The sequence below is a fragment of the Homo sapiens genome, chromosome 2 (assembly GCF_000001405.40).
Source record: "Homo sapiens chromosome 2, GRCh38.p14 Primary Assembly".
NCBI lineage: Eukaryota > Metazoa > Chordata > Mammalia > Primates > Hominidae > Homo > Homo sapiens.
Window position 1 is genome coordinate 205,774,525 of NC_000002.12, and position 24,081 is coordinate 205,798,605.

At 44.4% G+C, this 24,081-nt stretch overlaps 1 protein-coding gene across 15 annotated transcripts in view, besides 2 other annotated features; it reads left to right on the forward strand.

Annotated features, from left to right (window-relative positions):
* The window catches only part of NRP2 (neuropilin 2), a 115,631-nt gene extending 92,024 nt beyond the window's left edge, over nt 1-23,607 (forward strand). For 6 of the 15 annotated variants that reach the window (NM_201266.2, NM_003872.3, XM_047446170.1 and 3 more), the window contains 2 exons: nt 17,711-17,761; nt 20,230-23,607. In NM_201266.2, coding sequence (NP_957718.1) covers nt 17,711-17,761; nt 20,230-20,534 — 356 coding nt within the window. In that variant the 3' untranslated portion in view covers nt 20,535-23,607. Of the gene's footprint in view, nt 1-1,721; nt 5,191-10,855; nt 17,011-17,710; nt 17,762-20,229 lie in introns of those variants that run through there. The other 9 variants (NM_018534.4, NM_201267.2, XM_047446174.1 and 6 more) reach the window with 5 other exon arrangements.
* Nucleotides 6,885-7,108: a silencer, noted in NCBI's record as "fragment chr2:206646133-206646356 (GRCh37/hg19 assembly coordinates)". NCBI's record gives its function as "represses an EF-1alpha promoter that drives an FKBP-Casp9 reporter gene in an ReSE screen in phorbol 12-myristate 13-acetate-treated (for megakaryocytic differentiation) K562 erythroleukemia cells {active_cell/tissue: K562(+PMA)}" and the evidence as "EXISTENCE:reporter gene assay evidence [ECO:0000049][PMID:32094911]".
* Nucleotides 22,041-22,542: an enhancer, noted in NCBI's record as "NANOG hESC enhancer chr2:206661289-206661790 (GRCh37/hg19 assembly coordinates)". NCBI's record gives its function as "activates a minimal SCP1, AML or CMV promoter by ChIP-STARR-seq in primed H9 embryonic stem cells {active_cell/tissue: H9 hESC(primed)}" and the evidence as "EXISTENCE:reporter gene assay evidence [ECO:0000049][PMID:30033119]".

Genomic DNA, 24,081 nt, shown 5'->3' on the forward strand with positions numbered 1-24,081 from the left:
CAATGTTGTGGGACTTCTGGTCACCCAAGAGGTGCCAATGAACCTGCACCCTAGCGGAAGGGGATTCATACAGCAGGAGAAAGCAGTGATTAAGAGCTAAGAAGTTGAGCAGGCTTTGAAATATTTTCCAAGAAAAATGTTCTCATTTTTCTATCACTTCTGAGAAGACATTAGAAGGTCTGACCCACCTCCCACCTATTCCCCAGATCAAAGAGAGGAGTTCTGATGTTCAGGCTGCAGGAATTAGAGAACACAGACTCAGAAATAGGAGTCTTAGCCTCAGTTCAGTGTTTGATTCACCAAGCATTTATTGAGTGCCTTCTTTGTATAAACCCTTAGGTATGGATGAGAGCAAGTTCCTCATGATGAGAGTGAGTTCCTCTGCTTAAGGAGCTCTGAATCTTAGGGTGGGTAGTGTAAGGAGGCATGAAAATAGAAATGAGCCCCGTTTGCATCTTGAGCAGAGGGGGACCACCCTCTGCTCACAGGGTAGGACCACTAATGCATGAAGGAGCCCGCAGCACTTCCCACCCATGGCTCCCCTGCTGGGGCACCCCATGAGTAGAGAGGATGCATCTTTCCGGCTTAATGCAAACAGCTAGGGAGGCATTTTTCATAGGAGAAGCATATATCATTTTTCAGAAGTAAAGATCATGTCTGGTTTTGGCAAGCTCAAAAGCTCCTAGTCCCTTTCTGGGCCAGATTCTCATCTGATGTAAATCTTTGGGAGAATCAAGTTGTAACACTGCTTTGCATCAAGTGGGACTCCAGCCAGTCTTTCCCCAGAGTTACCCTGGGCTTAAATCTACTACATCATCTCCATAGCAACCGGCAGCGGCCAGTGAACGTGGTTGCCTTCTAAATACTCTGCCAGCTTCTCTTCCCTGCTCTGTCTTTTCTGTCATTAAGAATGATTTCCCTCCCTCTCTCTCTCACTCACTCACTCTCGCTCTCACATACCCTCTGTCATTTTGTGCCCACATTTTTTTTGTTGCAACTTCCCTTCCAATCTGCTTTTAAAAATCCTCCATCCAATTAAAAAATGAGGATGCATTAGTCATGACTTAACAGTGGTGATTGACCTGTCTAGGCAAGACCAGGCTAATTTCAATGGGCACAGAAGCCTTGGCAAGCCAAAGTGGAATTTACCTTCAAGTCTAGCCAGCTTAATTAATACATTGTTGCTGAGAATGCTGGCCAGCCAGACCAAATATGGTGTTTCCACCACTCAGGAAATCTGCCTCACTGAATCCCGGAAGTCATGTCAGCATCATTTACTTGTATGTATTTGTGTATGTGTATGTGTGTGTGTGAGAGAGAGAGGGAGATGGAGGGAGAAAGAATTAGAACACTTCCATATATTATAAAGTGATTGTGGTTGAACAGAAAGAGAAGAGATGTGTAATTCTACCATTCTTGGTTGAATCCCATACTTACTATTTAACTAGCTGTATAACCACTTAACTTAACCTCTCTCCACCTCTGTTTCCTCATCTGTAAAATGGGTCTGACAATAGCTACCTCCCAAGGGGGTAAGTAGGAAATAATGCAATCGTTGAGAAGTGCTTGGCAGGTGCTAAGGACTGAGTACCACCTTAGTCCCCCAGACCCTTCCCTGTATGTCCCAAAGCATGTGTGTGTTTCTTTCTTTTTTTAAATTAGTCTTTTGATTAGTCTGCATGCTCTCAGCCTAGCAACACTCTTCTGTGTCTCTCCACCAGGGGGCACCCTCCTGCCAGGGACCGAGCCCACAGTGGACACGGTGCCCATGCAGCCCATCCCAGCCTACTGGTATTACGTAATGGCCGCCGGGGGCGCCGTGCTGGTGCTGGTCTCCGTCGCGCTGGCCCTGGTGCTCCACTACCACCGGTTCCGCTATGCGGCCAAGAAGACCGATCACTCCATCACCTACAAAACCTCCCACTACACCAACGGGGCCCCTCTGGCGGTGGAGCCCACCCTAACCATTAAGCTAGAGCAAGACCGTGGCTCGCACTGCTGAGGGCCGAAGCAAGAACAGCACCCAAAACAAACGAGAAAGACTGCAAACATGTTGCCTCGATTTTGCACTTTTTTCTCCTCGCCTAGTTTCTGTGTGAACTCTCAGACATCTCTTTCCCGGATCCCCAACCCTGAGCACTCTTATCAATCCCAACCATCCTCCTTGGGTTCATTTTGGTTTCTGGTTTTTCTTTTTCCTTTTTGTTGATTCCAAACCAACAAACCCAACTCTAATGCTGCATCTTGGACTATCCGAAGAGATCCACCCCCAAGCACTCCACAACTCAAGGCTCAGCTGGTTTTGTTCCAGAGACTGGTTCGCTTGTTTTTTCCCCTTGCCTTATCCCATACCTCCTCTCAGTGGGCAGTCTGCCAGGAGACGTGAGGGGAAGCCTGGATCTGTGTGTATGTACATAGTAGACATGTGTGTGTGTGAATAGCTCTCTGTGTGTGGGTGTGTGAGAGAGCGGCTGGTTCATTGTGTGTGTGTTTGGGCGAGGGGTGAGTGTTCAGAGAGGGCCCCTTTAACTCTTATGTTACTTCTCCTGGGGTACATTTTACAAGAAAATAATATACTGTACAAGTTTTGTTTACTTGGAGAAGAGATTGAAGCTTTTTGTTGCCTTATCTAGCTCTGGCTGGGTTTCTGTTGGCTGTCATTGTCATCTCCAGGTACCTAAAGAAATAGAGGCCACATGGGATGCAGTGTGGCTTCTCCCATCCCTATCCCCAACCCACCTGACCCAAGAGAAGGTTCCCCTAGCACACTCAAACAAGACCCCCTTGTCTTCTGGTGTCTTTGAAATGTCAAGATAACAGCCACTGGGTGTCTGCGGAACCACCTCTCCAGCCCTAAAGCAAATCTGTCTCATGTTGCCTTATAAAAGAGAAGCTCATAATGAATGTTTAGCCTTTATCAGTTACATCCAATCTTGGAATAAGTCATAGAGAATAACAAGTCTGGGACTGACGTAGGAAAAACAGTAGTCTGTTTAAGTTGAGAGGAGGAGGAGGTGGACGAGAGAAGGGAGGAGAGGGAAGAACTGAAATGTCTCCTCACCCAGGGTGGTTATTGGGCCCAACTTGGGATGGGGTTGAGTACGAAGGTTAAAAAACATATACTTTGGTATTATATTGGTCATTGTAATAGCAGTTGTAAAATATGGGGGGAAAAGGGATCATTTGCTTTCCTTTCATGGTGTTAATGTGTGCCTGAATCTATAGCCGCTAAAATGTAAGGCTGTCCACCTGACTTATTTAAATATTATCAGAGAATAGAAAGTAATCACTTTTTAAGTGTACCTATGTGCTGCCCCTTAAAACATTCATGGCATCTGGCAAATAGACCCTTGTAGGCTGGCCTGGCATATTCAGATGTTGCCGCATCATCACAGAGAAGGTCAAATGAAGATGTAACCATTGCTGCTCATGTGTCTTCTCTAAGCAACAAGGGGAGCGGGATGTAAGAGAGAAGTTGCTAATGATACTGTACAAAGGATGGATTAAATAATGAAGTCAATTTCATTGATAGAAAATGCAAATTTTAAGATTCTCAGTGTATGAGGTCTCAGCCTCGGGAGCATTTATTTTTTACTTTCCTGCTAAAAATCCACTGGGGAGGTATAAAATTCACTCCAAAGAAGTTTGCCTGGGCCAAAAGCCTCCAGGTTCCTTCTGAGAACAAAATACTAATGATTTTTTTTTTTTTTTTGGCTGCTTGGGAGAGACTTTCAGCATTCTTTCACGATATCCAGATATGTCCCTTCAGCACACACACTCAACTTTCTCATCTGGTTCGTTTCATCCTCCCGAAAGAACGGTGCTCTCCCACTCTTACTCTATTTCAAAGAGCTACTCTGTCTCAACCACAGCAGCCCTGCCAAGAAAAGGCAAGATGAAAGGCTAGAGCATGTGCTACCTTGAGATTTCAAGAAGTGTCCTACCTCAGCTGAAGATGGAGAAACGGGGAGTGGAGAGGGGATCAGCCCAGGGTACCATGTGATGACTAATATGCCACTCATTAAGGGCTTTTACCTCGGCTGTCCACATCCAGTCATGCATTTGGGGCCAGGCATGCCTGCGAAATGATTGACATTCCTGTAGGTGCCCCATAGAGGTGTGGCATTGAGAAATTATGTCTGGAAAATACAGCCAGTGTAGTGACCAGCTGAGTTACCATATACCCTGATGATTCCCCTTCTGTAACAGAAGGTGACAACAACTTTGTGAACTTTCTATATCTTTATCTGATGCCCCAAGTGGCATCATCTTTATGTACATGCCTTAGTTGAGAATATGAGACTGCTCTAATCTTTGTGAATGCCTTCACACTTCAGCTGAGGATGTCACCTTCTCTGTCACTCCCCATCCTGCAACCTCTGCCTTTGCTCTGTCTACCCCAGCAATTTTCATAGTGTTATCCAGGTACTGTGCTAAAAGGTCAGCTCTTCTGTAAAATGCCATGCTTCGCAGCTTCAAAAAGCAAAATTCTGTATTTCATGGAGGGAGGGAAGGGTCATTCTCTTCTAAGAAAAATAGACTGGACAGGCGAATGCATGCATGCATGTGTTTAGAGTTGCTTCTCAGAAGACAAAGAGATGATAGCAACTATTAAAATATGAATGAATGAATGAGTGAATGAGTTGAAGGCCTAGCTCGGGCTGATAAAGCTTTTGCCTTAGTAGAGGTTTTATGTCAACACCTTCAGGAGGGAAGCCCTTATTTCTGGGTTGAACTCCCCTTCCATGATATTATGCTAGCAATTGCCATCACTTAGTTCCTGGCGAAGGCAGAAAAAGAAAACAAAAAATCAGCATTGTCATTGACAAAACTGGATGCTGAAGATAAAGTAAAATTGTCTTTTCCCTTGTCCCACATTTTTGGGATTAAAGCCAGAATTGAATAGGAAATACAGTACTATTTCTGAAGTTGATAGCCGATCTTTAAGAAGACCCTGTCTTTAAAATGAAACTAGCAGGCAAACACCTAAATAATCGAAAATTACCAAAGAACAACAACGAAACAAGAAAACCTAAAGATTTTTACTTCCTATTCTTATTCCTTTCCTTATTACTGTGACACCCCTTGCATTGCTCAGTTGCCTGTGTGTCAAAATAACTTGTGGACGTTGGAAATTATTTGAAAATGTATTGTGTGGAATGTAATAAAATGATGATATTTTTATACAAACATGTGAGGTTTTTTTTCCCTTTGCCTGTGAGAACAAAGTTGAAATGTAGGCTTTGAGCAAACTGATGCTTCCAAAGTTTACACATCACCTTCTGAGCTACAGGGCATTTCTGTGGGAGGTAGGTGGGTTTTCTCCTTGAGGCTGAATGCCAACTTTTCCTTCTTTTTATTTTTATTACTGCTTGTTAGGATTTTTATCCAATTTGTGCAGCTGAGACAACTTTTATGATTGGTGTGGGATTTTGCAAAAGTTGCTAAGTGCTAAATTGCTAAATGAGATTCCACGAAATTTCTCTTGATGACAAATCCCTGGAGATTAGATTCTACTTTCAAAGGGCTCCGGGAGAGTGGTACCAGCTAAGCTGAATCCTGTACCCAGCTCTGCAGAGACAGATCACTTCCTTTGAAGAAGCAGCAGTGACATCTTACCCCTCACCTACCCAATTATTACTTCCACAGGGATGTGAATCTCCCATTTACGAGCGCTTTCCCAGACAAAACGGGAACTTGTAGCATGTTCAGGGCTGAAAGATATTCTAGACTTCATTTTTGAACAGGTAATGAAGATAATTAGATGATGACTGTGGACATAGAACTATCAGAGTGGAACATTTTATGAAAGGAACACTATAAAACTTTGAGGAGAGGCACTTGGGGAAACTTACTCAGAAGGCCAGGTCTTTCTTGATGAGTATTTTTCTTTGGTCCTCCTCTTTAGATGGTGACCCAGTTATATAAAATATTTCTATCAGAAGGGAACTGGGTTGGGCCAGGTGGGGGAAAATCTAGGAAAGGCAGCCTCCCAGCAGTTCATGGTTTCTAGATAGTGGTCAAGAAGAGGTCACATTAATCCTATTTGCAGATAGGATTTCCCACCAACCCCATTCATGGGATTTATCAGAGGCCTTCTGACAACCTGGGAGCCCTCCTCAGGGGTCCGAGAACCATCCTTAAAGGTCCTGAGAAAATGTACATGTTCAGAAGATCCTATTTCTGTCAGAGTCCTGCTTTTCATCCTATCCAAACCTAGATCCAGGAAGGAGTGCTTTTTACAGCTGTAAAACCTGTCCAAGTGCTGCTAAAAGGAGACAGGCTTCCGGTTTTTAGATCTTACAGGAAGTTCTGTTAGTACAGATGGTTCAGTATAGATGTCACTATCTGTCCCTTGCAGGAGAATAAAGTAGAATGTCAGTGATCAGAGCATTTTTTGTTTCCCCAGTGACAAGCTCAATTACCCCTTTTGTCTAAATAACATTTGGCTTTCCTTAAAGCCATTTGTTCCCATTAGTAAAGAATGAAATAAAAATATCTCAAAAGTGTTGATTTCAAACAAAGACCCAGGCTCAGTCAACATTTCCTTGAGCTGACCTGGGACCAAACTTGCCGGACTGAACTAAATTAGCCATCACTTATGCTTTGTTGGCATTACTGTTTTTGGAACCATGTTTGGGAATTTTCCCACCTTGGTTCTAGTCCCAAGACTTATTTTAAGGGTACTTACTCCCCCTAAAAGGGCAAGGACTGTTAGGACTCCAATCTTAGATGTCAAACAGGGCACTGTTACCACCAAACACTCCTCAGTGTGGCATTTCTTATGTAGCCCAAGCATAAATGTTCAGAAATTTTGTTTCCATGGATCATAAATACCAGATGTCAAGGCCTAGGCCGGTCTGTTTCTGCTCCTACCTGGTTCTTTGTGATGGTTTCAGTGTGTGTTCTCTCTTCACCCACTGCCCCCCTAGCTCAGATAACCGAAACCCAGCCAAGCTGAGGTGGCACAGTGTTTATTTTCCTTGCCCCTCTTCACGGCCTCTGCAGTTGTTCTGCACAAACGTGTGGCCTTTCTGTAATCTCTGATGAAAAGAGCTACATCCTGAAGTTTTGACTTGCCTGCATTGTGGGCTACACATCTGAGCCAAACTGCAGATCTGTAGGTGAAGGCTTGTTTTTTCTCTTTAATTGTGCAGATCACTGGGGCTCTCACAGCTGTAATTTGCCTTTCATACACTTTAGTGACAGCCCAAAGAAAACACAAAACAAATCCAACCAGAGAAAAAGGGAGGGGGCGAGGGGAACACCAGCTGATGATCTTACAATCAGCAGGGAAAAGAATTGCCTCATACAAATAAATTAGTAGCTAGGAATAGTGTAGGATTTAATTAATCCTGACACAGATCAGGTGCACCACAGTATGTATAGAGGTCAGATACAATCAGAAACCCACACCCTTAGGGGTCTTCAGGCCACAAGCCTGGGCCAGAGTATGTTTGCCCTGACTGCTTGGAGGTGTTCTGTTTGGACCCAAACCTAAACACTGAAGAGCGACAAGATTTGGGAAATCGCCAAGAGCAAAACCTTATTTAGCATGGTATGGAACAGTGGAGAATCTAGGTGCTTCAGCACAACCAAGCCGAAGCCATTCTTTCCCCAATCCCAGTGGATAACAGACCTAGAATCATCTCCTCTCTACTGGGTAAAACAGTTGTTCTTGGCCTTTTCTGCCACTGACCCCTGAGAGCCCCAAAAAGCTAAAGTCCCGTGGGCATTGGACCAAGAAATAGGAAAGACCATTTGAACAGTCAACAACAGAGGTACTTGAGGGAGGACTGAGTGTTATGTGGGAAAACCTCTTTTCTCGGAGTTTCATTGCTTGAGAGTGTATTGATACTGATGATACAGGGAGGCTGCTGGAGGGAGACTTTATAGTAACTGGCTGGGTTTCTTTAACTCACAAGTTAAACATGCTCAAAAAGTGCAATAATACAGAAAAAGCCAAAGTCGATTTCATTGTTGACCAATCCCAGTCACCTCCCCAGAGGTAACTGTGAGGGATGGTTTGAGGAGTATGTTTCCAGGCCTTGTTTTATACCTTTACAAACATGTATGTTCATGTTGAGTTATGTGGTTTGGTTAAGCTGGGGTTTAGTTTGGTTTCATTTGGTTTTGTGTAAATGGTAGCACAGTGTTTGCTTACTATATTGGATGACTTGCTTCTTTTCATTTGACATCTTGAGGGTAATTCAGTACATACTAATGCATCTACCCCATCCTTTATATCTGCAGCATAGCATTCCATATTGTGTTGATATGCCAGAGTGTATTAACTGCTCCCCTGTTGATGAGTGTTCAGACTGTGTCTAGTTTTTTTTTTTTTTACTATTATAAACAATACTGCAATGAACATCCTTGAAATTGCTTCTTTGGGCACATGTTTTACAAAGGATAGAATTTCTGGGTCAAACACATCCCTGTTTTCATTTTAGTAGGTGCTATAAAAGGCTGAGGTTTGCCGTTTAAAATTAACCTGTCCCTGCTTGAGAGCATAGCAGAAACTAGTGGACGTCCTGGCTGTAGAGCCCCTGCCACATCTGCCCAACCCATGTGATCTCTATGCCTATCTCTCTTTCTCTACAGTGGGTGTGTTGCTTGCAAGAGAAGACCTTGGGCACTTTTAGCTGAAGATAATTTTAAACTCAGGGAGTGTTTCTTCAGAACGTTCTTTTTTTTAACTGCCAACTTACGGGGAATATGGACCTGGCTCTAAGTGTCAGCTCCCCAGAGCTGTGGTGGCTGTGTCACTGGAGTTAATTCTGTCCCTGGGTTCATCAGGCAGAGTCCTGTTCTCCATGATTAATGAGTTCCACTTGCTTTCTTCAAAGAATGCCTGTGCTGTGCCATGCTGTTATTTATTTATGTTTTCTACTAAAAAATTTATGTAAAAAACATCCCTTAAGGTCAGTATGCAGTATTGTGCTGCAGACTAAACTATCCCAGCAGCCAGAGGTAAACCTACACACCAAGAAAAAGTCTCAAATTTGAGAGGCCTTGGACCACAGGCCCCCACACTGGCCCCAAGAGGGGCAGACCTTGTGGGCTTCCTTCTGAGGAAGTTCAGGGCTGCAATACCCAAAGGAAAGGCACTAGGCAGTGAGGTGGTTTTCTAGTGGGATGTTTATAGGCATAGGCAAAGCTACTAGCCCCCACAGGGGCCAGTAGCAAGGAATGGCGGGTGGAGGAGAAGCCCAGAGACCTGTCAGTCCAAACACCATTTCTAGCAAAAGCACTGCCCTCATTTCTGTGGTGTGCTGAGAGAAAAGTGTCATAACAAAGTGGCTTTGACTTTGAACATAATGGAGTGTGTGTGGCTATATAGGTCCAGTGTGTGCTTTCCCTGACCTGCCAAAAATCCAGGACCATTGCCTCCTGGGCATGAGGTATGAGTATTTAACTCAGGAAAGAAAGCAGCATGAGTTGAGATCTGGATGAACTAGAGTGCATCTCTCTCTGACACACACACACACACACACAGTGCCTTGTTTTGTCTTCTCTGTGTAATTGCGCAAAATTAAATCCTTTAAATATCACGAACATTCCCCAAAACAAAGGCTCTGCTCCAGAATTGGAATGATAGTATACCATGCCACGGCTTTCAGCAATACCAGTTTCTTTCTCCAGCAGCAGGACTCATTAACAGGATGCCTGGACTGGACTTCCCTGCAACTTATTAAAGAGCAGCCAGCTCCAGTAACGATGGGTGTGCAGAAAGCCTTGAGCTAGAGGCAGCCTTGACCAAAGTCTCATTCTCCAAAGCCTGCTAGTTATTGAAGCTTCATTTAAGCACAAAGAAACTTTTTGTCTCTTTGTGTTTTCTTGCTGCCACCCAGGGCCTGCGAGAACAGGCATGAGGATTTCAGGGGCTGGTGTGGGCCTCCCCATGGCTTCTCTAGGGCAGCCCCACAGCTGGCATTGAGAGTGAGATGGTAGTTATTACAACCTAGATGGGGCCAACATGGGTGTGTGAAAGGAGCCCCAGAGATGCCTCATTCGCCTTGGCCAACTGTGGCCTAAGAGGATGAGCCCCATATTAGTGTTTACAGGGGTCCTGGGCCCACAAACCCATCACTGCTTTCTGGCTCTGCACCTCCTGATGTGGCTAGGGTCTCCACCTCTTTCTCTGTGGAGGAGCTGGTCACCACTCATCTGCCTTTGTGCCAGGTGCAGTTTGTCTCCAACCTCCAAAATCCCCTTTCTGCACCTTCCCCTTCTCTTGCTGACCCCTTTTCTTCTCTGGCATCCTTACACTTTCTCTTTCCCTTCATCCATCAATGCCTTCTTCAAAAAAGCATGGGTCAGATTCCTTCACACAAATGCCGCATGGCTACTTCCTCCAATAATTGCATTTTTACAGGGGACCACACCTGAAGCCAGGTCTCTTAGTAATTACGGTCCTTGGCCACCAGCAAGCTATTGGGGGAAATCATCTCTTGAATGGGCAGAGAGAGGTACATTTTTGGTAGCTGTAAAATGATATCACAGAGTCATTCATTCTCATTCATTCTTGTGTTCAGAAGAAGAGCCCATCTTTTAAGTACAGTGAATTCTGTTAGTGACATACAGGTGTACAGTTTCTTTTCAAGGACCTACAAAATAAAAGGGGCTATCTTTCAGAAGATATTCTTCTTCACATTGGAAATGGATGCAGTTTTGATTCTTCAACTCCATTTTCTCACTTGTCCAAGGTTGTACCAAACCACTCCATCTGAGTGACATAGTGATGTTTCTAACATCCACACCTCAAATATTGGAACTAGAGGAGGGGAGAAATTTCAAAGCCCACTGGAAAAAAACTCCCTGAAATATGAAGATACATGACTTTTTCCCCTAGCATCCCAGGAAAAAAAATAAGACTACACAAGAGGGGGAAAAAACAGCAGGTTTTCCTTGAAATGCTCTGTTTTTCCCACCCTCATGCCCTAAGAGAAGGTAGCCAACAAAAGAAATGAAAAGAGCCAATTGCTTGTTCACATATCTACTTACAACAATGGAGAATAGCTGATTTTTCAAAGACTTGGGGTAAAAAAGAGGTTCTAGAATTTTCTTTCATCAGCTTTGCTGTGTTTTTCCAGTCTGCACAATTGTGAAGCCTATCTTTATAGCCAAACATGTCTCTGGCTGCATTTTTCTTCTTTTCATGCCATTGTTGGGGCTCATTGGAGACATTCTGGCCTCAGCTGCTCATCCGCCTCCACACTTGAAAGTATTACTAGGTCATTTCACAGTCTTCTTGTTTGCAGTCAGTATTTCCAATTCTTTTTAGTGTTTCCTTCTAGTTATTCAACTAAAAATAATAGAAACGAATGGCTAAATTCAAGATCAAACTCTTCCAGTAATCTCACACCAAGCCCCCTCCTTTTTTTTCCGCACTTGAAACCATTTGAAAAATTCCAAAAAATATTTTTTCCATGACCGTGCCTAGATTTGGCTGTAGCCCAAGAGATAAAAGCCTGTGATAAAGGCTCTTCTGATGGTGCTTCTAAACTCAAGCCAAACCCAGCAAGGAATGAATGGCTCTCAAGTAGCCCGACTTCTTAACAGAGGAGATTTGGCAAAGTTTAGATCAACACCTGAATGTTTGGCTCCTTATTGCAACTTGGATGAACAAACTGAATTGGGAAATTAAGTGTGGTGGGGAAGGCGGACCTTCAGCCAATACTAAATATTAAACTGAATTAAACCGAATTTTGAAGTGCCAAGAAGAATCTCCTTAGTCCTTTGTTATTTATCTTTTACTGAGGTCTCAGTGTTGTATTTCCTGCTGGGATTAAAAGAGAATGGCTGAGAGAAGTTTCTGGAGGCTACTCATCTGAAAAATCCAGCGATTTAACTGGCCCATGGGGTTCAGAAACTTGGAATCAAGTTCAACAAAGGCACTAAGTGGCCAAGAGCTTATCCCAAATAAATCACAGCCCCCAAACAAGGTGTTGAAAATCTATGGCTTACTCTCAGTTCTACTGCTGATTTATTCAATGACTTATTGCACTTCTCTACCCTCCCTCCTCAATTTCATCTCTAAAGTCAAAGTGATGACACCTGGTACCTGTGAAAATGAATGATTTCAGTGGTTTCCTGTGTGTAAGAGGCTCTTCGATCCTTGCCTTCAAGGCTGGTTGAAATGTGGTAGGTTAAGTGGATGTGCTAAGACTGGCTTTCCATGAGGTTTTCTCAGCCCAGCCTCAGTTAACACAGAGGCTTAAAACTATAGGCACAATTTACCCACTTTGTCAGTTCCTCAGTCACCAATTAGCAGGACTAAGTCCTGAGCCAAACGGGCAAGTATTGAACACATAGAACCTCATGGGTTCTCTTGACCTGTCCTTTTTGTGGTCTTCTCTTTCTGTGCACACCTTAAAACAAATGGTTTCAGGGAGTGGCCACTCCCAGGAGAGGACAGAGTTAGGGTGAAGAATGGGGCAGTGAGCATCATGGGGCAATGGAGCCCTTTTGTTCAGAAGTTGCCTTGTCTCCCTCAACCATCACCCTCTTCAAAGAACCCTCATCAGAAAGGCCCTCGTACCTTTCTCATTTCCTTCCTGTAAAGACAAGGGAATTCTAGAGGAGAGGAGAGCATCAGTGTTTACTTTACAGAGGAGCAAACAGAGACCCAGGGAGGTCAATGACTGGTCAAGGCTCTGACACCTGAGGCAGAACCACATGGGAGGTAGGCATTCCGCCCCCAGCCTAGGGCCCTCCACATCCCACGCCGCTTCCTTCAGTGCAGGGTGATGCTGCCACTGACCAGGCTTCTGAGTGTCTCTGCTGTACACTCCAGATGACAAGCCTGTCATCAGCTTCAAGCAGACCTCTTAATCCACTGCTCAGGGTTGGCATGGAAGGGACTCTTCAAAGAAACCAGCACATTAGTGACCTGAAATGATCTGTGTCCCAGGGCTGTCTTAAATTATTTACCCAAAAGTAACCAGTGGTTTGGGGCAGACTTCTCACTTTCCTGGCCATATTGTGAAGCTCCTTTACAATGCGGGAAGTAAACAGTGTCGAGGCCAATATACTCATACAATATGCTCTGTGTAGACACAGAGCGAAGGCTGAGAATTTTCTGTAAGAAACTGCAGAAAAGCAAACTAATGAAGGAATGCTAATCCCAAATAATCTTAACTTAGAAGAAGGAAGAAAATGAGGGAGAGAGGAAAGATAAAAAAAAGTGTCTGTGTGTGTGTGTGTGTGTGTGTGTGTGTGTGTGTGTCAGAGAAAGAGAGAGTGAGAAAGAATGGAAAGGGCCATAAGAGAGGGCCTTCTTATTTGAGGACTAAATCATTCTCAGTAGGAATTTCCAGGCAGCAGGTTGGAGTGTCTTGGGGGTGTTTCCCCTGAGCAGCATGTGTGGTCTTACACTACCAGGCAGTGTTCCAGGGAAAAGCTTATTTCATTAGAAGAGGTTGGGTTTGTGACTGGATATGGCGTTCACCCTTTGTGCCGTAGTGTTGCAATGTATTGACAAGCACACTAGAGAATATTTGACTCTTCCAGGGTGGAGGGTGTTTCTGGAACAGTCTTGTGGGTGTTTTCATAACTAGCCACCCTGGTCTCTCATTCCAAAAAATCAGGACAGCAGGAGATCAGTGAGACCTTGAATCATGCCTCACCGTGTACCTACTCTGTCTCTCGATGATGCAGAGAGAAGGGACACTGACCAAAATAAGGTGACTTTTTGGCCTGAGACTGATCTTCATATGAAAATGACCAGAGTTTTGTGAAGTTGGGTTGTATTTGTTTTTAAGCAGTAGCTACTGTGCCCACTTGATTACTCAAGCTCTGTAAAACCCCTTCCCATCATTCATTCAGAGCTGACCTCTTTCTCTCACTGTGCTGATCTGCAACAGCTGGGGAAGGGATGGGTGTTGGAGATCGGGAAGGCAGAGGTCTGACTCTCACATAGATATATGCAAGGTGGAAGATTTGTGGCAAAGCTAGGTGATCGCTTTGAATTCCTTGATGAGCCTGATACGAATGAATGCAAGCCAAAAGACAAGAGATCAGGTGCCATGTTTGAAAGCATTTCTATCAATCAGACAGATAAAGGGAACAGAAATCCCCCGATGCCCAACTTGCAGCAGCCTCAATTCCACAGTATCCTCCTCTACACTCCCACATTTTCCTTCCTGATAGTGGCCCAGGCTCATTTGCCCAATCCCTGCCCTGGACTCCAGCAGCACTTGGGAGTCCTCTCCGCAATGCCTCACTTTCTTTCATGCTAATTTGGCATGGGTGAGTCTTCACTTCCCAACCACCCTGAAGGGCCTTGATGGTAGACACCTGGTCCCTTACATCTTTATTTTCCAAAGTCATCAGTTTGTTTCCTGGGCATGCAGTGAGCCCTCTTACTAAGTGGTGTTAGGCTGGTTAGTTGGTTAATGAAAACTGCCCTTTGAAGAACAATGTAATTTAGTTTCCTGCTCTGGGTGATGCCTGTCATGGAAAGCATGAAACCCCAAATTTCAGATCCCCACTTCTTCATGTTCATGAGAAGCCCCTCAAAGCCCTACTCTATCAAAGTAGTGAGCCAGTGAAACAGGCAACCAAAGTGTGTATCCAGCCAATCCGGATCTGAGATAAGGCAGACTCTTTTATTTTATTAGAAGGGGGCAGTAGGGATATGGTGGTAGTTACAGTGTCCCAGCCACACCCAAAGAACTTGAATGCAGACTGGGGATCCACCCTGGCCCTAATACAGTTATTTGAGAGTCAGTATTTGTAGTCAGGCTGACCTGAGACTGAATCCACATGGGGGCCTAGAAGGAAACAGGGTCATGGGAGCACAAAGGTTGAAAGCGGAACTCGTGTGGGTGGTAAGATCCCTTCCTGACCTGCATTCTTCTAGAGGTTTGGCCCATTCCACTCTCCCTAGCCCATCTCACACTCACCAACACACCCACCCACTAAAACAGAGTCCTGGAACTTCCTCTTCAAGTTTTCCCCATTGAAAACAAAATTCTGAGTCCCTGGTTCCTTTCTCCCACTCTCTCCTGATGTCTGCCCTGACTTCGGCAGCTAGGTCTGCCATCCTGTGGCTGCCATTTCCCCTTTCCAGGGAGCTGTGGCCTCTACCCTCTGCCTTGGGCTCCTAGCTCATCATTCTCCCCTCTGCCTCCCAGAGGCCGGTAGCTTTACCCGTTGGTTCTCCTGGTAGCATCTTACCTGCCACACCTTGCCTATTCTTTGCTAGAACTACAGGGACCTAATGAGAGAACCACATTCCTTCCTGCTGGCCTCCTAAGGAAACAGGCTGCAGTTTACCTACCAGGCTCAACAGAAAAGGAAAGTGGCTGGTAAAGGGCAAAGATGCTTTTGAGAGAGAGAAAGCTCTTAATCAAACACAGATATCAAGAATATTAGCAAGGGGACTAGAGAAAATTGCTATCAAAGTAAATGGTTTTTTGTACAAATGTTCCCTTTATTTGTGTTTTCCCCAGTGTGCCATTCTTTCTTTAAGGCTTGGTGAACAGATGTGCTTTTGAAAATGTTGATTAACTTATCCTTTTTTTGACCCCCTTCCCACTCACTCAAACTCAGGGGAGCAGTGATTATATAAAAAGCCAAGTCAAGCCACTAAAGTGTTCTTCTTCACCTTAAGTAGCCTTTGATTCTCCAGGTGCAGAAATCTCAGCTGCATCTGGGCAATTGATTTCATTGAGTCTTAGAAATGGGCCAATTCTTAGGAAATCATCTCATCCAGTCCTCAACCTCCAGAGACAAGAGGCCGTGATCTCCTGTGATAAAATGTTCTCAAAATCATTAGCATCATTTTACCCTTTTTCCTTTAAGATCAATGCCACATTCACCCCTTTCCAGCCAGTGATCTATGGTATCCTAAGACTTCTTCCCTGAGGGTGTGAGATGGAGCAAGATGGCATTCTAGCCTCCAAGAATTCATCACATCCTTGGCAGAAACAAGATCCCTAAAAGCAAGCATAGGATTTGGCCCAGAAGTCACTGGCAGGAGCCCCGTGGTTCTCATCCTAGGCTGATTCACATATTCTTATCCAGTGTTCTGCCTCTTTTACTGGTGAAGATGTTAAGACATATGAGCAGCCCATCAAACCAATTAATTGTTGGAAATGTGACGGTTTTCTTCCATGTTTTTTTTTTTTTTCATATGGAAAAAAACCCTGTGGGTTGACTTTCACAAGCTCGATTTGATCCCTGTGACAAACACCACCTTCCTCTTGTTGATTCATGTTCACATCTCCCTTCCAAGGAAACAACCTGCTCTGTTGGGGCCTGGAGGAGAATGCAGGGAATGGGCGTTGAGGTGGGGAGGCTGGCGTGGCCTGCAGGTGCCACTTGCTGTGCTTTAAACATGCAAGGAATGGGCTGGAGTTATGGAGGATTAGTGCCATGTGGCATCAATCTTTTAAGTGGGGTCTTGGCAAGTTGTTTTGTGCATCCCTTACTAGGGACCGAGGGGGATGAGAATGTGCTTTAGCACTTTGGCCAGAAATGAGAAAGACTTCTAACATGATTGAAACCATGGCCTCCAGGAAAAGACTGAATTTCAAATGTGACAGTGATGGATCAATGCTCAGTTCAGATCATGGTCAAGTAGATCTTCCCCGAGATGTAGTGCTGATGAAGGAAGCTTTCGGGATGGTCTAAAGTTCTTTTTCTCCCTCTTGTCTGATACTTCAGCCGTTTGGGATTTTGATTTTCTTTTAAGCCTTGATTTTTGGATTTCAATTTATAGTAGTGACTTCAAGATTGTTTATCTGACTTGGTGGAACAAAACTCTGAGAGGGCCATACACATTCACTGGGGCTGTCTTGAGCTGACAGCTTGGAAAGGCATAATTAGCTTGTGAGATAGGAAGAAATGATAAGATGTTGCTCTTTGCCATGCATTTGATGTTCTCTATTAATGTTTTACCATTTTAGACAGATAACTTTCAGTGGTTCTGATTTCTATAAGTTGGACAGCACAGTGAATAGAGAGACCTGTATTATCACCCTCCCAAATTATCATGAAAAAGAAAAAGATAGACAGTGATAATACTGGAGAAAACTCATAGTAAATTAACTTAGCCTGGCTAGTCAGATTGGATGCCCATCTTTGATCTATTCTAAACCACGAAGAAAGCTAATAGGAAAAATAGACTTGGGAAGGATGAGAAATATTAGCACAGATATGTGAAGGTCAACAGGCATTATGACATGCCTTCCATTTCTGCTCTTAAATTAAAACATATAATGATGAAACAAGACTTCCTTAAACTACCATATGTTTACATGAAATCCAGAGGAGAAAGACTCTGATGCTTTTGTGCCCACTGAGATGCGTGCCTATGAAGAGGTGCAGCATGATACACTAAATGGACATCCCAGTAAAGGCAGCTGCTGTTGGGCATAAGATGCCATTGAAGGTGCCTTAAATGAAACCTGTGTTCCTAATGAATGCCAGTCATTAAAAAGGCACAGTGGCAGGGGTTGCTTGGCACTGAAGACCCAGAGTTTCTTCTTAGTTCTGTGTTACTGGTTGTGGTTGGAGGAAGACACAGGTCATCTGAAGGAGAACAATCCAGTAATGTCCATAATGAATGATCTAGAAGTAGAGGTGATTCTCTAGCTGCCTGCCAGAATGGGGAGTCATTCTCGTAAAGATTGCCTCCCTGCCTTTTAGCCATGGTGATAGAACTTGTTATTAACTTGTTTTTATTTTCTTTATATTATAGTGGACATCCCAGAAATACATGAGAGAGAAGGATATGAAGATGAAATTGATGGTGAGTACTGTTATGATTTAGCAGGTAATCGTAAAATTCAAGTTTGGTTATAAAGGTGTCAACAAAAATAATGCTCTGGGTATCGGAGGGCCCAAATCTAGAACTATCAGTCAGAAATATATAAAAGAATCTGGAGAAAAATGAGGGAACCATCAATGGATCTGTCAGGGTCAACTTTAGAGGTTTAGAAAGTTTATTGAGTTCCTCTGCCTAATCTGAAACAGATCCCCTCTTTCCAGTAACTTTTTACCTGGATGGACTTTGAATCTGAATAAACCCTTTACAAGTGAAAGATCAGCTCCTCCATACGTGTCATAGTCTGAATCTTTTGACCTTCTCCCAAAAATGGCCTGAGTGAATGAGCATAATGTGAATATTCTCCCAGACCTGCTGTGGTTTCTGGTTCCCTGGCTTGGGGGAAACCTTCCTCACACTATTCAAGATTCCAATTTGGAGCTTCTTGCAAGATTTCGGTTTCTTTTTCACACTGACCATCTCGTATCTTTATATTTATTCCAAGTTCTATTTTTCCACTGCAAACACATATACTTCAAGAGGCTAGAGGGCTGCTGAGCAAATATGTAGATGTAATTTCTTCCCTCAACTCAGAATAGCACAGGTCTCTCTCTGGGCTTCTCTGAGTACCAGAGTTGATCTCCAACAGACTCAACAGCAAGATTCCACTTAAAGAATAACTGTAGACTAAGATTGATGAATTTAAGAGGAACAGTTTATAGAGCAGCTGCTTTTAACCTGCCTTTAATCAGAAACTTCATGCGTAGTTATAGAAACTGGAGTGACTAACCCAAACAGCACCTTGTTAACTGACTGCAGACTCTCCCTGCAAAACCCAGTCCAACACTCCTTTTATGGGCAAAAGTGCATGACCAACCTACATGGAGAGACCGCAGTAGATCAGGCAGAGGCGCACTGGAATGGAGTAGAAAGGGCAATGGGTAAGGAGGCAGAAAGCCTGATCTCCATTCCTGCTTTAACTGCTTGCTAAGCCTGTGACCTGGAGTGAGTTACCTAGTTGCCTAATTTCTTTAAACCTCAGTTTCCTCACCTATTAAAATATATATAATATCCTGCCTTCTTCATGGGATTATTAGGATATTTCAAAAAATGATGCCCAGATGTGGGCATGCCTTGGCCACAGTGTAGAAACGTAATTAGATTAGTCTGCTAGGGCTTCCAGAACAGAGCACCACTGACTGGGTGGCTTACAACAGACATATATTTTCTCACAGTTCTGGAGGCTAGAAATGTAAGATCAACATGTGGACAGGGTTGGTTCCTTCTGAGGGCTGTAAGAAAGGATCTATTCTAGCTCTGTCTCCTTGGCTTGGAGATGGCCATTCTCCTGTTCATACGATGTTCTCTCATGTGTGTGTCTCAGAATTTCCCCTTTTTCTAAGGATACCACTTTTATCGGATAAAGGTCCACCCTCATGACCTTATTTTAACTTGATAACATCTGTAAAGGCCTTATCTCCAAATAAGGTGGTGAGGGTTAGGACTTCAATATGAATTTAAGTGTCTGGGAGGGGGATACAGTTCAACCAGTAACAATAAGGCACGATGCCTTATTATTAAAGGAGGTCTGATGGCTGGGAAAAATCTGCTGCTTATATGGCCAGGAATACCAAATTAGGAAACTCATCATGTGCAAATAGTCCCAGACTGTCCTTTCATTAGCTTGAGGAGGTTGGAAAGGAGGGATGTAGAGGTTGCCTTGAACACAAGGCCATCCTAGGTGCTGTAAAGCCACCCCAAAGGTGCTGTTAAAATCAGAGCTTACCTAATGTAAGTCAAATTATTTATTTATTTATTTATTTTTTTGGAGACGGAGTCTCGCTCTGTCACCCAGGCTGGAGTGCAGTGGCGCAATCTCGGCTCACTGCAAGCTCTGCCTCCCAGGTTCACGCCATTCTCCTGCCTCAGCCTCCCAAGTAGCTGGGACTACAGGCGCCCGCCACCACGCCCGGCTAATTTTTTGTATTTTTAGTAGAGACGGGGTTTCACCGTGTTAGCCAGGATGGTCTCGATCTCTTGACCTCGTGATCTGCCCGCCTCGGCCTCCCAAAGTGCTGGGATTACAGGCGTGAGCCACCGCGCCCGGCCTCAAATTATTTAAATATCGGATACTTAGTACTTACTATGTTGCAGACACCAAGCACTTTACAAATATTAGTTCATGTAATCCTCCTAACAACCCAGTTGAGGCAGATTTTACTATTATCCCCATTTCAAAGAGGAGAAAACTGAAGCAAAGAGAGGTTCAATAGCTTGCCCAAAGTTACACAGCTAGGATGCGGCCAGGCTGGGCTTTGAACCCAGGCAGTCTAATTCCAGAGCTGCTGCTGCTAACTACTGTGCTCTGAAGAGCCTCTGGGCTGGGGAGGCTCAGTCACTTCACCCTGACATAGGCAGTGCCTGCAATCTCTCATGAATTTTATGTATCGCAGATGAATACGAGGTGGACTGGAGCAATTCTTCTTCTGCAACCTCAGGGTCTGGCGCCCCCTCGACCGACAAAGAAAAGAGCTGGCTGTACACCCTGGATCCCATCCTCATCACCATCATCGCCATGAGCTCACTGGGCGTCCTCCTGGGGGCCACCTGTGCAGGCCTCCTGCTCTACTGCACCTGTTCCTACTCGGGCCTGAGCTCCCGAAGCTGCACCACACTGGAGAACTACAACTTCGAGCTCTACGATGGCCTTAAGCACAAGGTCAAGATGAACCACCAAAAGTGCTGCTCCGAGGCATGACGGATTGCACCTGAATCCTATCTGACGTTTCATTCCAGCAAGAGGGGCTGGGGAAGATTACATTTTTTTTTCCTTTGGAAACTGAATGCCATAATCTCGATCAAACCGATCCAGAATACCGAAGGTATGGACAGGACAGAAAAGCGAGTCGCAGGAGGAAGGGAGATGCAGCCGCACAGGGGATGATTACCCTCCTAGGACCGCGGTGGCTAAGTCATTGCAGGAACGGGGCTGTGTTCTCTGCTGGGACAAAACAGGAGCTCATCTCTTTGGGGTCACAGTTCTATTTTGTTTGTGAGTTTGTATTATTATTATTATTATTATTATTATTATATTTTATTTCTTTGGTCTGTGAGCAACTCAAAGAGGCAGAAGAGGAGAATGACTTTTCCAGAATAGAAGTGGAGCAGTGATCATTATTCTCCGCTTTCTCTTTCTAATCAACACTTGAAAAGCAAAGTGTCTTTTCAGCCTTTCCATCTTTACAAATAAAACTCAAAAAAGCCGTCCAGCTTATCCCATCCTCTGATTGTCTTCTGACTTAAGGGATTTACTGTGGTGTAGGTTCTGCCAGCCAACCCTACAAGCTGCCATTTCCAGTCCTAGCATTTAAGTAGGATGTTGTTGCCTTTAACTTTTCTTATCCAGGGGAAAATTGCCATTTTAGGGTCAGCATGAACAGCTCTTTCTTGTATGCGATTTAAAACAAACTGGAAAGGAAACTTCACACGTCAAAATCCATAGAAGCGCCTGGACGAGGCTTAAAGTGCTTTGTGAGTGAATAGGAGCCATTCGCTAATTCTAGACCCACAGTGTCTGGTGGTGGGGCTTCCCTTGTGGGGCTTCTGGTGGTGGTTTTGCCTTTTCTTTTCCCTCCTCCATGTTCTTCTAAAACATATACATATATACATACACACATACACATATTCTTCAGGTCTCTAAGCCCCTGGAAGCAGCATTGTGTGATATTCTCAGAGGCAGGGGAAAATAGAGGGAAAAATAGAGACTATTGGTATGTTCTCCCCATCAGCGAGTTATTGTAACTGGTCACCACTGGACGGGAAGGAGAACAGAGGAGAGGGAAAGAGAAGCCCAACCTCTGTGATCATATGAGGGCCAAGGCTGAGCAGTGTAGACAGAGACCCTTTGAAATGCATTTGTCTCTCAAATAGACTAGTAAACACCGACTTCTCCTTTGGGTTACAAACACCATTTCAACCTTTCGGGAGAGTCAGAGCTAGGATGTACAAGAACTGATTCTAACCAGAAGTCCGCAAGTACTGTGGACAAGAATGCTTAACCATGCTGCTTCAGCCTTGAGAGACCTAGGTTCTTACACATATGCACACACGCATACACACATGCACGCACACACACATACACACATGCACGCACGCACGCATGCACACCAATTTATGTTTTTATTAAGTGCCTTGAAAAAATGAAGAAAAATGTATTTTCCCTTTATGTAAAAATTAGTGAATATCTTATGAATTAAGGCATTCCTCTTTCCCTAACCCCGATGGCTCCATTCCCAAGTACCCCAACTCACTGCTGATCCTATTAAAGGAATGAGTCCTGCTACCCGAGTGGTAGTCATAGCCCTAGATGACTCTCAACTACTCTTCAAAGGGAGGCATCAGGAATAGAATGAAACTGTGTGAAGGATAAGATTGTTCGCATCAAGATCCAAATCTTGATTTCATATTAACGCCTAAGGATTGCCTGTGTGCTGGAAATATATTTGAAACTCAACCAGTATGCCCAGCCTATTGCATATCATTGTCAGACCATTTTTGCTGCTGTGGTCACCCACGATTTCATTTGTCTTATACCCAGGTGAAAGGGGAAGGGTGAATGGGACTGGCTGGTTCCTTTAAATGTTAACTTATGGAAATGCTAGTTCAAATGGTAATGTCACAGTGTTTTGTATGCAGAGAGCAAGAGTTCAACCAACAGCTGTTTATTCATGTGTGTGTGTCTTTGCTGCTTTGAGTTCTCTGTATCTACTGTGTATGTGAATGGTCATGTGGGACTCAGTGGTGGTGTTGTGACTTTGACCTAGGGTCCGAGTGTCACAGCTGATCTTGGCACTCGGCACTCATTGGCACAGTGGTAGTTAGAGGTGAAAAGTAGAGCTGTCAAGCCCAAGGGCTTAGCTTTAGGGCTCCTCCTGAGTTCGGCCCACAGTAGAAGCAAGATTTTAACTAGCCCCTTTTCCTCTTCACCCTCCCATGATGCGCAGTGTTCAGAAAGCTGGTAAGTCCTAGGGATTTCCAGAAGTAGCCTGCAGAAGAAGGTAAGTTTGAAAGCCACTCCAGGGGTCCTGATGCTGTCATGCTCAGTGAGCCATTTTACAGTTCTCCAAAGTCTAGCCCTGTTTCGGACCTGCACTTCACCTCTAAGTTATGTACAACTCAACCTGCATCCCTCTAAAAGTCCTATATCCATATTCACCATTGGCTAATTTGAGGCCCTGAGTGGGCCTTGAATGCTAAAAAGAAGCAGGGTACGCAGGGCTACATGTAGATACCACACCAAGGCTGGAGGCTGGTCTGTCATAAGACAGAAAGAAAGACGCTGGGCCCAATTTTGACTTGGCCAGGGGACACCTTGGTGTGTTTGTTATCTTTATCTGTGGGTAGGCTAGCTGACCCATCTCCTTGAGTCATTCCCTTTGGGAAACCCCACTGCCAGTATTGATCTCCTTTTTGCCTTGTACTGAATGACACATTACCTCCACACTCTCCCGGACTAGGTGGTCAACAGGGCCACAGGGTTGCTTTCTGTCTTTGGTGGGGCAGGGGAGTTGACAGGGATGAGGGTCCAAGGAATAAGCATGAATGACAAGAAAACAAGGGAAAGAGTTAACCTGTCACATAGCAGGTTAACTTTTTCAGGGTTTGCAGTTAGAGGTATTCGACCATTCACTGGCTGAGCCAGATCACGGGAACTTGAGAGCTTTTACTGTGATTCTTCAATGTAAAAAATAAACAACAATGTCAAACTGTGTTTATATGATTTGTATAAAGCCTTTTTAAGATTACTATTTAAATAAACATTATACCAGAGATATTTTTCTGCATCGTGGTTTTTTTTTTTTTTTTTTTTCTCTGCATTGTCTTTATTGGAGACAAACAGATCCGGGATAAGGGTGACCAAATTGTCCCACTTTGCCTGAGACTTTTTCAGGTTTTTAGCACTGAATGTCCTGTTGAAATAGGATAGTTCCCTCAACCCATTCACAGGACTCATGATAGGGTGGCTTGCTTACTCAGCCTGCAGCTCTCAACCCCTTGTGGGAGGGGGAGAACACAGGAGAGCAGGCGCAGAGGCCAGGATGAGCACTTTTGGGCAACCGGCAGGAGCAGAACCCTGTGCGGGCCTGCGGCAGAGTCTAGGGGTCGCCCATGACCCCTGGAGCCCCAGAGGGCCTGTGTTACAGTGCGCTCTTCTAGCTTTGCCATCCACGGATGGCTTAAGTGTTAAACAGCTCAGTGTAGAGTCATGATGACAGCCTCTTGCACCCACACTCAGGTTCTTGTCT